Genomic DNA, 13,040 nt, shown 5'->3' on the forward strand with positions numbered 1-13,040 from the left:
AGAAGACTGTTTTCTCTTCTGTTTTGGGAGGTTTCTATTGACATATTCTCAAGCTCAGAGATTCTCTCCTCAGCTGTGTTCAGCCTACTGATGAGCCCATCAAAGGCATTCACCTTTTCTGTTATGGTGTTTTTGATCCCTAATATTTCCTTCTGGTTCTTTCTTAGAATTCCCATCTCTCTGTCTACATTGTCCATCTGGCCTTGCATGCTGTACGCTTTATCCATTAGCACCCTTAGCATATATATATTTTTGAGACCAGAGTCTAGCTCTGTCACCCAGGCTGGAGTGCAGTGGCACAATCTCGGCTCATTGCAACCTCCGCCTCCCAGGTTCAAGTGATTCTCCTGGCTCAGCCTCCCAAGTAGCTGGGATTACAGGTACCCGCCACCACGCCCAGCTAATTTTTGTATTTTTAGTAGAGACAGGGGTTTCACTGTGTTGGGCAGGCTGGTCTCAAACTCCTGACCTCAGGTGATCTGCCTGCCTCTGCCTCCCAAAGTGCTGGGATTACAAGCGTGAGCTACTGTGCCCGCCCCCCCCTTAGCATATTAATCATAGTTATTTTTAAATTCCTGGCCTGATGATTCTAACATCCCTGCCATATTTGAGTCTGGCTCTCATGCTTGCTCTGTCCCTTCAAACTATGTTCTATTATCCTTCAGTATGCATGTCTCGTAATTTTTTTTTTTTTGGATAGCAAGACATGATTGATGTGCTGAGCAAAATAAACTGCAGTTTCTTTAGTAATGTAGTGGTAAAGTGTGGGAGAGGGGAAGTGCTCTCTAACCGATGATTATCTCAATCTTTTAAAGAGCCTGTGAAATTGTAGGCTCTGAAAAAAAAACAAACCCCAATAGTTTAGGCTCTGGTAAAATAGTTCCTCTTGAGGGCAGGCCTTGTGAAGCTGAACAGAATGCTCTGGCATATTTCACATGAGAACCTGGTTAACCTCCTGGAGGTAAGTAAAACTTACAAAAGTGTGTGTGTGTTGGGGGGTCCCTCCTGTAACTAGGTTCTCTCTGGAATTTTTTTTTCCTTTGAGATGGAGTCTCGCTCTGTCGCCCAGGCTGGAGTGCAGTGGTGCAATCTTGGTTCACTGCAACCTCTGCCTCCTGGGTTCAAGTGATTCTCCTGCCTCAGCCTCCTGAGTAGCTAGGATTACAGACATGTCCCACTATGCCCGGCTAATTTTTGTATTTTTTTTTAGTAGAAATGGGGTTTCACCATGTTGGCCAGGCTGGTCTCGAACTCCTGGCCTCAGGTGATCCGCCCAGCTCAGCCTCCCAATCTGCTGGGATTACAGGCTTGAGCCACCGCACCTGGCCTCCCCCTGGAATTTTTAACTCTCAGACTTGTTCACATTGAGCCTCCAACAATTCATCAATTACAGTTCAGGTCTGGTTCCCGGGGGGATTTTTGCTGATGTGTTTCTTCTCCTCTGGTAAATTGTGATTCTCCATCTCCACCTGTCTATTTCTCCAGTTTTGAGTACAGCAGCTTTCCCTGTGATGAATCCAAGAGGAAGTTGTTGATTTTTCAGTTGGTTCAGCTTTTTACTTGTTGGCAGAGTGACAACTTACTTCCAAGCTTCTTACATGTCAGAATGGAATCTTCTTCTCCTCCTTCTCCTTCTTGGCAGAGTCTCACTATGTTGTCCAAGCTGGCCTCAAACTCTTGGGCTCAAGCAGTTCTACTGCCTCAGCCTCCTAAGTAGCTAGAACTACAGGTGCATGGCACCATGCCCAGCCTCTTCATCTTTTAGAGAATATTTTCACTTGTCTAGTTTGCCAGTTATTTTATAGCATTTCAAATATATAATTTTTTTTTTGATTCCGAATCTCACTCTATCACCCAGGCTGGAGTGCGGTGGTGTGATCTTGGCTCACTGCAACCTCCACCTCCTGGGTTCAAGCAATTCTCGTGCCTCAGCCTCTCAAGTAGGTGAGATTACAGGCGCCTGCCACTATGCCTGGCTAATTTTTGTATTTTTAGCAGAGACGAAATTTCACCATGTTGGCCAGGCTGGTCTCAAACTCCTGGCCTTATGTGATCATCCCACCTTGGCCTCCCAAAGTCTGGGATTACAGGCATAAGCCATCGTGCCTGGCCTTCAAATACATCATATAATTGTCTCCTGGTTTCCATCATTTCTCTGAAATTATTAGGTGCCAATCTTACGTATTAAAGATAGCATAAAGTTGAGTCTTGTTCTTTGTTTTATTTTATCCAGTTTGATAATTCGGTCTTAGAATATTTAGATAATTTACTTTTGATGTAATTGTCAACATCATTGGGCTTAAATCTACCATCTTGCTATTTTCTATTAGCCCCATATATACTTTACTTCTTTTTCCTATTTTTCTGCCTTCTTTTGAATTAATTGAATATTTTAAAATATTTATTTTATCTCTACTAATGTCTAATTACCTATACTGCTTTAAAATTTGTTAGTATTTGTTCTAAGGCAGTGGTAAGCATATGCCCCATGGCCTGTTTTTTATGGTCCATGAGCTATGAATGTTGGGTTTTTTTTAGTTATAAACTTTATTTTTAGAACAGTTTTAGACATGCAGAAAATCATGAACATAGTACAGCATTTTTATACATCTTGTATCCAGTTTTCTTTATTATTAGCATAGTATATTAGTTACAATTAATGGATCAATAATGATACATTATTATTAACTAAAGTTCATACTCTAATCATATTTTCTTAGTATTTTGTTTGTTTGTTTTTTGAGATGGGATCTCACTCTGTCACCCAGGCTGAAGTGCAGTGGCATGATCTCAGCTTATTTGCAAACTCTGCCTTCCGGGTTCAAATGATTCTCCTGCCTCAGTCTCCCAAGTAGCTGAGATTACAGGTGCCTGCCACAGTGCCTGGCTAATTTTTGTATTTTTAGTAGAGATGGTGTTTCACCATGTTGGTCAGGATGGTCTCAAACTCCTGACCTCAAGTGATCTACCCGCCTCAGCCTCCCGAAGTGCTGGGATTACAGGTGTGAGCCACAGCACCTGGCCTGATTTCCTTAGTATTTTTTAAACTGTGGTATAATACATTTAACATAAAATTTACCATCTTCACTATTTTTAAGTATAGAGCTCAATAGTGTTAAGCATATACACACCATTGTGCGACCAATCTCAACTTTTTCATCTTAAAAAATTAAAACTCTATGCTATTAAACAATTTTCCATTTCCTCCTGCCTTCAGCCCCTGGCAACCATGATTCTACTTTCTGTTTCTCTAGATATCCTAGGTGTCTCATGTAAGTGGAATCATAACAGTCTTTGTCTTTTTGTAACTGGCTTATTATTTCACTTTGCATAATGTCTATGTTGTAGCATGTGTCAGAATTTCTTTCCTTTTAATTTTTATTATTTATTTTTTATTTATTCATTTTTTGAGACAGAGTCTCACTCTGTCCCCCAGGCTGGAGTGCAGTGGCGCGATCTCGACTCACTGCAACCTCCGCCTCCTGGGTTCAGGTTATTCTCCTGCCTCAGCCTCCCGAGTAGCTGGGATTACAGGCATGCACCACTACCCCCAGCTAACTTTTTCTATTTTTAGTAGAGACAGGGTTTCAGTGTGTTGGCCAGGCTAGTCTCAAGCTCCTGGCCTCAAGTGATCCACCCGCTTCAGCCTCCCAAAGTGCTGGGATTACAGGCCTGAACCCCCGTGCCCAGCTGCCTTTTTAACACTGAATAATGTTCCATTGTATGGATATCGCACACTTTGTTTACCCCTTCATCTGTCAATGAATGGACACTTGGGAGATTGCCTTAGTTTTAACCTAATGTCTATTTTCTGACCCAGGATCCCATCCAAGATATCACATTTATTTAGTCATCATATCTCCTCAGGCTCCTCAAGTCTGTGACAGTTTCTCAGACTATCCTTTTTTTAATGACCTTGATGGTTTTGAGGAGTATTGGTCAGGCATTTTATAGAACATCCCTCCTTTGGGATTTACCTAATGTTTTTCTCATGGTTAAACTAGGGTTATCGGTTTTACGAAGGAAGACTACAAAGGTAAAAGTGCCATTTTCATCACATCAGGTCAAGAATACATACCATCAGGCCGGGCGCAGTGGCTCACACCTGTACTCCCAGCACTTTGGGAGGCCAAGGCGCGTAGATCACTTGAGGTCAGGAGTTCAGGACCAGCCTGGCCAACATGATGAAACTCTGTCTTTACTAAAAATATAAAAAATTAGCTGGGCATGATGGAGTAGGACTGTAGTCCCAGCTACTTGGGAGGCTGAGGCAGAAGAATCGTTTGAACCTGGGAGGCGGAGGTTACAGTGAGCCGAGATCGCACCACTGCAGTCCAGCCTAGATAACAGAGGGAGACCCTGTCTCAAAAAATAAAATAAAAAAAAGTACATACTGACAACCTGACTTATCATCATCATTATTATTATTATTATTATTATTGTTGTTGTTGTTGTTGTTGTTGTTGTTTTGAGACAGAGTCTCGCTCTGTGGCCGGGCTGGAGTGCAGTGGTGCGATCTTGGCTCACTGCAACTTCCACGCCCGGCCTGACTTCTCATATTGATATTGACTTTGATCACCCAGCTGAGGTTAGCATTTGCCAGGTTTCTCTAAATTTACTCATTTCTCTCCCTTTCCACACTGTAATCTTTGGAAGGAAGTCTTTATGCCAGCTCACATTTAAGGAGTGGGGAGTTATGCTCCACTGGTTGAGGGCAGACTATCTACGTAAGTTATTTGAAATTCTTCTGGCTGAGAGATTTGTTAAGAATAAGTTTTACGGCTGGGCGAGGTGGCTCACGCCTGTAATCCCAGCACTTTGGGAGGCCAAGGCAGGCGGATCATGAGGTCAAAAGATCGAGACCAGCCTGGCCAACATGGTGAAACCCTGTCTCTACTAAAAATACAAAAATTAGCCGGGCATGGTGGCTCGTGCCTGTAGTCCCAGCTACTTGGGAGGCTGAGGCAGGAGAATCAGTTGAACCCAGGAGGTGGAGGTGGCAGTAAGCCAAGATTGTGCCATTGCACTCCAGCCTGGAGTCAGAGCAAGACTCCATCTCAAAAAAAAAAGAATAATTTTTATTTTTATTTTTTTTGAGACGGAGTTTCGCTCTTGTTGCCCAGGCTGGAGTGAAGTGGCGCGATCTTGGCTCACTGCAACCTCCACCCGCCAGGGTTTAAGCAATTCTCCTGCCTCAGCCCCCCGAGTAGCTAGGATGACAGGCACCCGCCACCATGCCTAGCTAATTTTTTTGTATTTTTAGTAGAGACGGGGTTTCTCCATGTTGGCCAGGCTGGTCTGGAACTCCTGACCTCAGGTGATCCACAAGCCTCAGCCTCCCAAAGGGCTGGGATTACAGGCTTGAGCCACCGCTCCCAGCCTACTTTTTACTTTTTTTCCCCTCATGTCAGATCATCAAATGGGTATGTGCTGACGTCCACATCGTAACAAGGTTGGAGGGAGGCACGTCTTACACATGACCATGAATACCTGATCCTTATGCTTACGAACAGCAAAAGAATCTCTCTCTCTGTTTTTGAGAGAAAGTCTTAACTCTCTCACCCTGAGTGAAGTGCTGTAGAGCCATCATAACTCACCGCAGCCTCAAACTCCTGTCCTCAAGCAATCCTTTCACCTTGGCTTCCCAAAATGCTTTACATTTTTTAAAAGTTGAAATGGGTGGGGGCACAGTGGCTCACGCCTGTAATCCCAGCACTCTGCGAGGCCAAAGACAGGCGGATCCCTTGCGGCCAGGAGTTTGAGACCATCTTGGACAACATGGTGAAACCTTGTCTCTACTAAAAGTACAAAAATTAGCCAGGTGTGGGGGTGCACACCTTTGTCCCAGCTACTCGGGAGGCTAAAGCATGAGAATCACTTGAACCTGGGAGGCGGAGGTTGCAGTGAGCTGAGATTGTGGCACTGCACTCCAGCCTGGGCAACAGAGCAAGGCTCTGTCTCAAAAAAAATTTTTTTAAGTTGAAATGATTCAAAAGAATAATATTTTGGGGATATATGAAAATGGCATAAATTCAAATTTCAGAGTCCACAAATAAAGTTTTATTGGAACACAGCCATGCTCACTCATTTAAATATTTTCTACAGCTACTTTCTTGATAAAACAGTAGAGTTAATCGTTGCAAAAGAGACTGTATGGCCTTCAACACCTGACATATTTACTATCTGGCCCTTTACAGGAAAAGTTTGCCAACCCGTGCTCTAAGGTTTACAATACGCATCTTTAGTTTATCACAGTTTTCCTCCAAACAACATTATATCACATCATGTAAAAGTTAGAAACATAAACTAGCATATTTTCTTCTTCTTTTTTTTTTTTTTTTTTTGAGACAGAGTCTCGCTCTGTCACCCAGGCTGCTGGAGTGCAGTGGCATGATCTCAGCTCACTGCAAGCACTGCCACCTGGGTTCACGCCATTCTCCTGCCTCAGCCTCCCGAGTAGCTGGGGCTACTGGCGCCCGCCACCACGCCCGGCTAATTTTTTGTATTTTTAGTAGAGACGGGGTTTCACCGTGTCAGCCAGGATGGTCTTGATCTCCTGACCTTCTGATCCGCCTGCCTCGGCTTCCCAAAGTGCTGGGATTACAGGCGTGAGCCACCGCGCCCGGTTAAACTGGCATATTTTCTTTTCGCCCCTTTATGCTTCATGGTATTGTTATCATACATTTTATTTCTACATATGTTATAAACCCCATAGTACATTGTTATGCTTTTTTCTTTAGGTAGCTGATGATCTTTTAAACTAAATTTTAAATGAGAAAAATATATTTTACATTTACTCACATATTTTCCATTTCTTGTTTTATTTATTCCTTTGTGTAGCTCCAAGTTTCCATCTGGTATCACGTTCCTTCTGCCTGAAAAACTTTCTTTAACATTTTTTTTTCTTTTTTTTTTTTTTTTTGAGACAGAGTCTTACTCTGTCCCCCAGGATGGAATGCAGTGACATGATCTTGGCTCACTGCAACATCTGCCTCCTGGGTTCAAGCAATTCTCCTGCCTCAGCCTCCCTAGTAGTTAGGATTACAGGTGCCTGCCACCACGCTCAGCTAATTTTTGTATTTTAGTAGAGACAGGGTTTCACCATGTTGGGCAGGCTGGTCTTGAACTCCTTACCTCAAGTGATCCACCCGCCTTGGCCTCCCAAAGTGCTGGGATTACAGGAGTGAGCCACCATGCCTAGTCTCTTTAACATTCTTATAGTGTAGGTCGACTGATGCCAAAGTCTCTTACTCTTTGTGTGTGTGAAAAAGTCTTTATTTTGCCATCATTTTAAAGATATTTTCACTTGGGTTAGAGATCTACGTTGAGAGTACTTTTTTTCTCCACAACTTAAAAAATTGTGTTCTATTATCTTCTGGCTTACGTTGTCTCTGACAATAAGTCCATGATAATTGTTATCTTTGTCCTTCCATATACAATGTCTTTTTCCCTCTGGCTTCTTTTAAGATTTTCTCATCATCTCAGATTTTCAGCAGTTTGATTATAATGAATCTTGCTGCCGTTTACTATCTTTATAGTTGGTATTGAGATTCTTGGATCTTTGAGTTTCTAGTTTTCATCAAAGTTGGAAAACTTTTGGTCATTATTTCTTCAAATATTTTTCTGTTTTCCTGTTTCTCCTCTCTTTCTGGACTTCAACTACAAGTATGTGAGAGCACTTGATATATCCTGGGAATAACCATGGCTCTGTTATGTTTTTGGTTATTTCTTTCCACGTTCTTCCTTTCAGAAACTTTTTGCTGATAATGTCTTCATATATCTTCACGTTTACTGACCTTTTCTTCTGTGATATTTCATCTGCTGTTAATCCCATCCATTCAAAATACATTCAAATTATATTTAGGGCCGGGCACAGTGGCTCATGCATGTAATCCCAGCATTTTGGGAGGCCAAGGCAGGTAGATCACCTGAGGTCAGGAGTTTGAGACCAGCTGGGCCAACATGGTGAAACCCTGTCTCTACTAAAAATACAAAAATTACAAATACAAAAATTAGCCAGGCTTGATGGCAGCACCCGGATAGTTTCACCAGATAATTGGAATTAATAAAAAATGAAGAATCAAGTGGAGTCTTAGAGTGGTGAAAAAATATAATAACTGAAATTGAGAATTTATTTCACAGGACAAAAGGCAGATTAGATAGAGCAGAAGAGGGAATTAGTGAATTGGAAGCAGGTCAGTAGAAAATACTTTGCTTGTAGCATAGAGAGAAAAAGGAAAATTGGTGAAATAGGAATCCATTCCCTCTTCTGCTCTATCTAATCTGCCTTTAGTCCTGTTAAATAAATTCTCAATTTCAGTTACTATATTTTTTTCCACTCTAGGACTCCACTTGATTCTTCATTTTTTATTAATTCTAATTGTCTGGTGAAACTATCCAGCTGCCCACCACCAAGCCTGGCTAATTTTTGTATTTGTAATTTTTGTATTTTTAATAGAGACAGGGTTTCACCATGTTGGCTGGTCTCAAACTCCTGACCTCAGGAATTTCACTAGCTACTCAGGAGGCTGAGGCACGAGACTCACTTGAACCCGGGAGGCAGAGGTTGCAGTGAGCCAAGATCACACCACTGCACTTCAACCTGGGCTAGGTTTAAAAAAAAATCTATATTTAGATTTTGTGATTTTCATCTCAAATATAATTTCAATTTGTCAGTCTATGGTTGTTTCTTTGGAGAAATATGCTTTTGTTTTCTTGGTGCTTTCCAGATTTTTCCCTTTGAATTTAATATTTTGCAGTTTAAGTACAATGTGCCTAAGTATGATTTCTTTGTATTAAACCTGTTTAGCTTGATGTCTTGTGTTAGTTATAGAAAAATTTTGGCCAGTAATATTGTCTCTACCCCATTCTCTCTCTCTTCTCCTTTTTGGACTCCAGAAATACCTATGACAGAAGTTTTTATTGTGCTGCATATAATATTAATGACATTTTTGTGTTCTCTACCCTTTTTCTGTCTATGCTACAATCGAAGTATTTTCTACTGACCTGTCTTCCGATTCACTAATTCCCTCTTCTGCTCTATCTAATCTGCCTGTAGTCCTGTGAAATGAATTCTCAATTTCAGTTATTATATTTTTTTCCACTCTAGGACTCCACTTGATTTTTCATTTTCTATTAATTCCAATCATCTGGTGAAACTATCCAGCTTTTCATCTATTTTCTTATACAAAGTAATGATAGTTAGTTCAAAACTCCAACTGATAACTCCAGTATCTGGATCTCCTGTGAGATTGTATTTTCTATGGTTTGCTTTTCTCTTGGTTTTCAGGTATTAGTCCAGTTTCTTCTTCACATGCATGGATGTTTTTCAATCCCTTCTAAGTCATAGTAGAATTTTTTTTAACTTTGAAGCAGTCTCAAATGTACAGAAAGATCACAACTATAGTACAAAGAACATTTTTCCTGAAATCATTTGAGATTAAGTTGCCATCACCACTCAAACACTTCCATTTGTAATTCCTATGAACAAGGACATCCTCCTAGGTAACCATAAAACTACCATCAAAATCAGGAAATTAACACTGGTAGATTACTGCCAGCTAATCCACAGCACAGACTCTATTCAAATTTCACCAGTGTGCCCAATAATGTTTTTATGGCAAAAGGATCCAGTACAGTATCACATATTCCATGTAGTTCTCAGTTATCTCTGGTCTTTTTAAATCTGGAACAGTTTTTTAATCTGTTCTTAACTTCGATGACACTTTCATAGATTATGAGCCAGTTATTTTCTAGAATGCCCCTTAATTTGGGCTCATTCAGTGTTTCTCCATGATTAGATTCAGGTTATGTATTGTGTGCAGGAATATCACAGAAGTGATGCTGTCTTTCTCACTGCATCCTATAGATGGTACATGATTCTAATTTATCCCATTGCTGTTCATGTCCACTTTGGTCATTTGATTAAGGTGGTGTCTGATAGGTTTCTCCCCTGCAAAGTTACTGATTTTCTCTTTGTAATTAATAAGTATTTTGTGGAAAGGTGCTTTGAGAATAAGTAAATAGCCCATTCCTCAACAAACATCCCACGTATTCATGTATTTACAACAGTATAGAGTCATGGATTCCTATTTTATTCTGTAAGTTATAATCCATTGATATTATTATTTATTGTGACGCTCAAACTTTCCAGCTGCAGCCAGTGGAAGCCCCTTCTAGCTGGCTTCCGTATTGTTTTGACACGTCTCCATTGCTCATTCTTTGAGCACTTTTCTTTTCTTTTTTTTTTTTTTTGAACAGCTTTATTGAGGTATAATTCATGTATGTTACAATTCACCCATTTAAAGTGTACAATTCAATGGTTTTAAGTGTATTCACAGATACGTGCCACCATCACCACAGCCAATTTTAGAACACTTTCATTACCTCTAAAACAAGTCTTGTAACATTTAGCTATCATCCCCCTATCCTCCCACCCACTCCAGCCCCTGGCAGCTACTAATCTACTTTCTGTCTCTGTATATTTCCTTATTCTACATAGTTAATACAAATGGAATCATACAATATGTAGTCTTTGGTAACTGGCTTCTTTCACTTAGCATAACGTTTTTGAGGTTTATCCAGGTTATAGCATGTACAATTACTTCATCCTTTTTTATGGCTGAATAATATTCCATTGTAAGACTGTACTATATTTTGTTTATCCATCCATTGCTGGGCATGGGGGTTGTTTCTAACTTGTGGCTATTATGAAAAATGTTATAAAAATTCACATACAGGCATACCTCAGAGATATTGCCAATTCAGTTCCAGACTGCCACAATAAAGCGAACATTGCAATAATGTGAGTCACGTGAGTACTTTGGTTTCCCAGTGCATATAAAAGTTATGTTTGGCCAGGCACAGTGGTTCACTCCTATAATCCCAGGACTTTGGGAAGCCAAGGCTGGCAGATCACTTGAGGCCAGGAGTTCGAGACCAGCCTGGCCAACATGGTGAAACCCCGTCTCTACTAAAAATAGAAAAATTAGCCAGGTATGTTGATGTACACCTATAATCCCAGCTACTCAGGAGGCTGAGGCAGGAGAATCGCTTGAACCCAGGAGGCAAATGTTGCAGTGAGCCAAGATCGCACCACTGCACTCCAGCCTGGGCGACAGAGTGAGACTCTGTCTCAAAAAAAAAAAAAAGTAATGTGGGAGGATCACTTGAACTCAGGAAATCAAGACCACCCTGGGCAACATAGTGAGAACTCATCTCTATTTAAAAAAAATAAAGAAAGGAAGGAAGGAAAGAATGAAGGAAGGAAAGAGAGAAAGAAAGAAAGAAAGAGAAAGAAAGAAAGAAAGAAAGAAAGAAAGAAAGAAAGAAAGAAAGTAAGAAAGAAAGAGAAAGAAAGAAAATACATTATTGCTTAAAAAAAAGAAAAGTTAACAATGTTAACAATCACCTGAGCCTTCAGCAAGTCATAATCTTTTTGCTGATGAATGGTCTTACCTCCATGGTGATAGCTGCTGACTGGTCAGGGTGGTGGCTGCTGAAGGTTGGGGTGGCTGTGGCAATTGGCAATTTCTTAAAATAAAGCAACAGTGAAGTTTGCTACATCGATTGACTCTTTCGAGAAAGATTTTTCTGTAACATGTGACACTATTTGAAAGCATTTTACACCAGTAGAACTTCTTTCAAAATTGTAGTCAATTCTCTCAAACCCTACTGCTGCTTTATCAGCTAAGTTTATGAAATATTCTAAATCCTTTGTTGTTGTTTCCACAATGTTCACAGCATCTTCCCCAGGAATAGATTCCATCTCAAAAACCCACTTTCTTGGCTCATCCATAAGAAGCATTTCCTCATCTGTGCAAGTTTTACCATGAGATCGCAGCAATTCAGTCACATCATCAGGCTCCACTACCAATTCTAGTTCCTTGCTATTTCAACCACATCTGCAGTTACTTCCTCCACTGAACTGTTGAATCCCTCAAAGTCATTCATTAGGATTGGAATCAACTTCTTCCAAACTCCTATTAATGTTAGTGTTTTGACCTCCTCCCATGAATCATAAATGTTCTCCATGGTATCTAGAATGGTGAATCCCTTCCAGAAGCTTTACCTTGCCCAGATCCAGCAGAGGAATCACTATCTCTGGCATTTCCTATAGCTTTAGGAAATAAATTCCTTCAATGATAAGACTTAAAAGTAAAAATTACTCCTTGTTTTGTGGGCTGCAAGATGGATGCTGTGTTCGCAGGCAGGAAAACAACATTAATCTCCATGTACATCTCCATCAGAGCTCTTGGGTGATCAGGTACATTGTCAATGAGCAGTAGTATCTTGAAAGAAATCTTATTCTAAACAGTAGGCCTCAACAATGGGCTTAAAATATTCAGTAAACGTTTCTGTAAACAGATGTGCTGTCATCCAGGTTTTGTTGTTCAATTCCTAGACCGCAGGCAGAGTAGATATAGCATCATTCTTAACAAGACTAGGGCTTGGGTTTTTTTGTTTTTTGTTTCAAGACAGGGTCTTACTCTATTGCCCAGGCTGGTGTACAATGGTGTGATGTCGGCTCACTGCAACTCTGCCTCCCAGTTTCAAAAGATCCTACCACCTCAACCTCCCCAGTAGCTGGGACTACAGGTGCAGGCCACCACCCCCAGCTAATTTTTGTATTTTTTGGTAGAGATGGGGTTTCACCATGTTGGCCAGGCTGGTCTCGAACTCCTGACCTCAGGCAATCCACCTGCCTTGGCCTTTCAAAGTGCTGGGTTTACAGGCATGAGCCACTGCACCCAGACAACAACCCTAGGGTTTTTGCGATGGTAATTGAGCATTGGCTTCAACTTAAAGTCATCAGCTGCATTGGTCCCTAACAAGAGAGTCAGCCTGTCTTTTGAAGCTTTGAAACCAAGCATTGCCTTCTCCTCTCTAGCTGTGAAAGTCCTAGGTAGCATCTTCTTCCAATAGAAGGCTGTTTTATCTACATCGAAAGTCTGGGAACCAGGCACAGTGGCTCATGCCTGTAATCCCAGCACTTTGGGAGGCCTAGGTGGGCAGATCACGAGGTCAAAAGATCAAGACCA

At 41.0% G+C, this 13,040-nt stretch overlaps 1 non-coding gene across 1 annotated transcript; it reads right to left on the minus strand.

The window, feature by feature from the left end:
• Positions 1-5,413: 5,413 nt before the first annotated feature.
• LOC124904130 (small nucleolar RNA U13) lies at positions 5,414-5,522 on the minus strand. Its single transcript, XR_007066007.1, has one exon. It is a non-coding gene; the product is annotated as a small nucleolar RNA U13 (small nucleolar RNA).
• Positions 5,523-13,040: the final 7,518 nt, after the last annotated feature.

Source organism: Homo sapiens, chromosome 17 (assembly GCF_000001405.40).
Source record: "Homo sapiens chromosome 17, GRCh38.p14 Primary Assembly".
Classification (NCBI taxonomy): domain Eukaryota; kingdom Metazoa; phylum Chordata; class Mammalia; order Primates; family Hominidae; genus Homo; species Homo sapiens.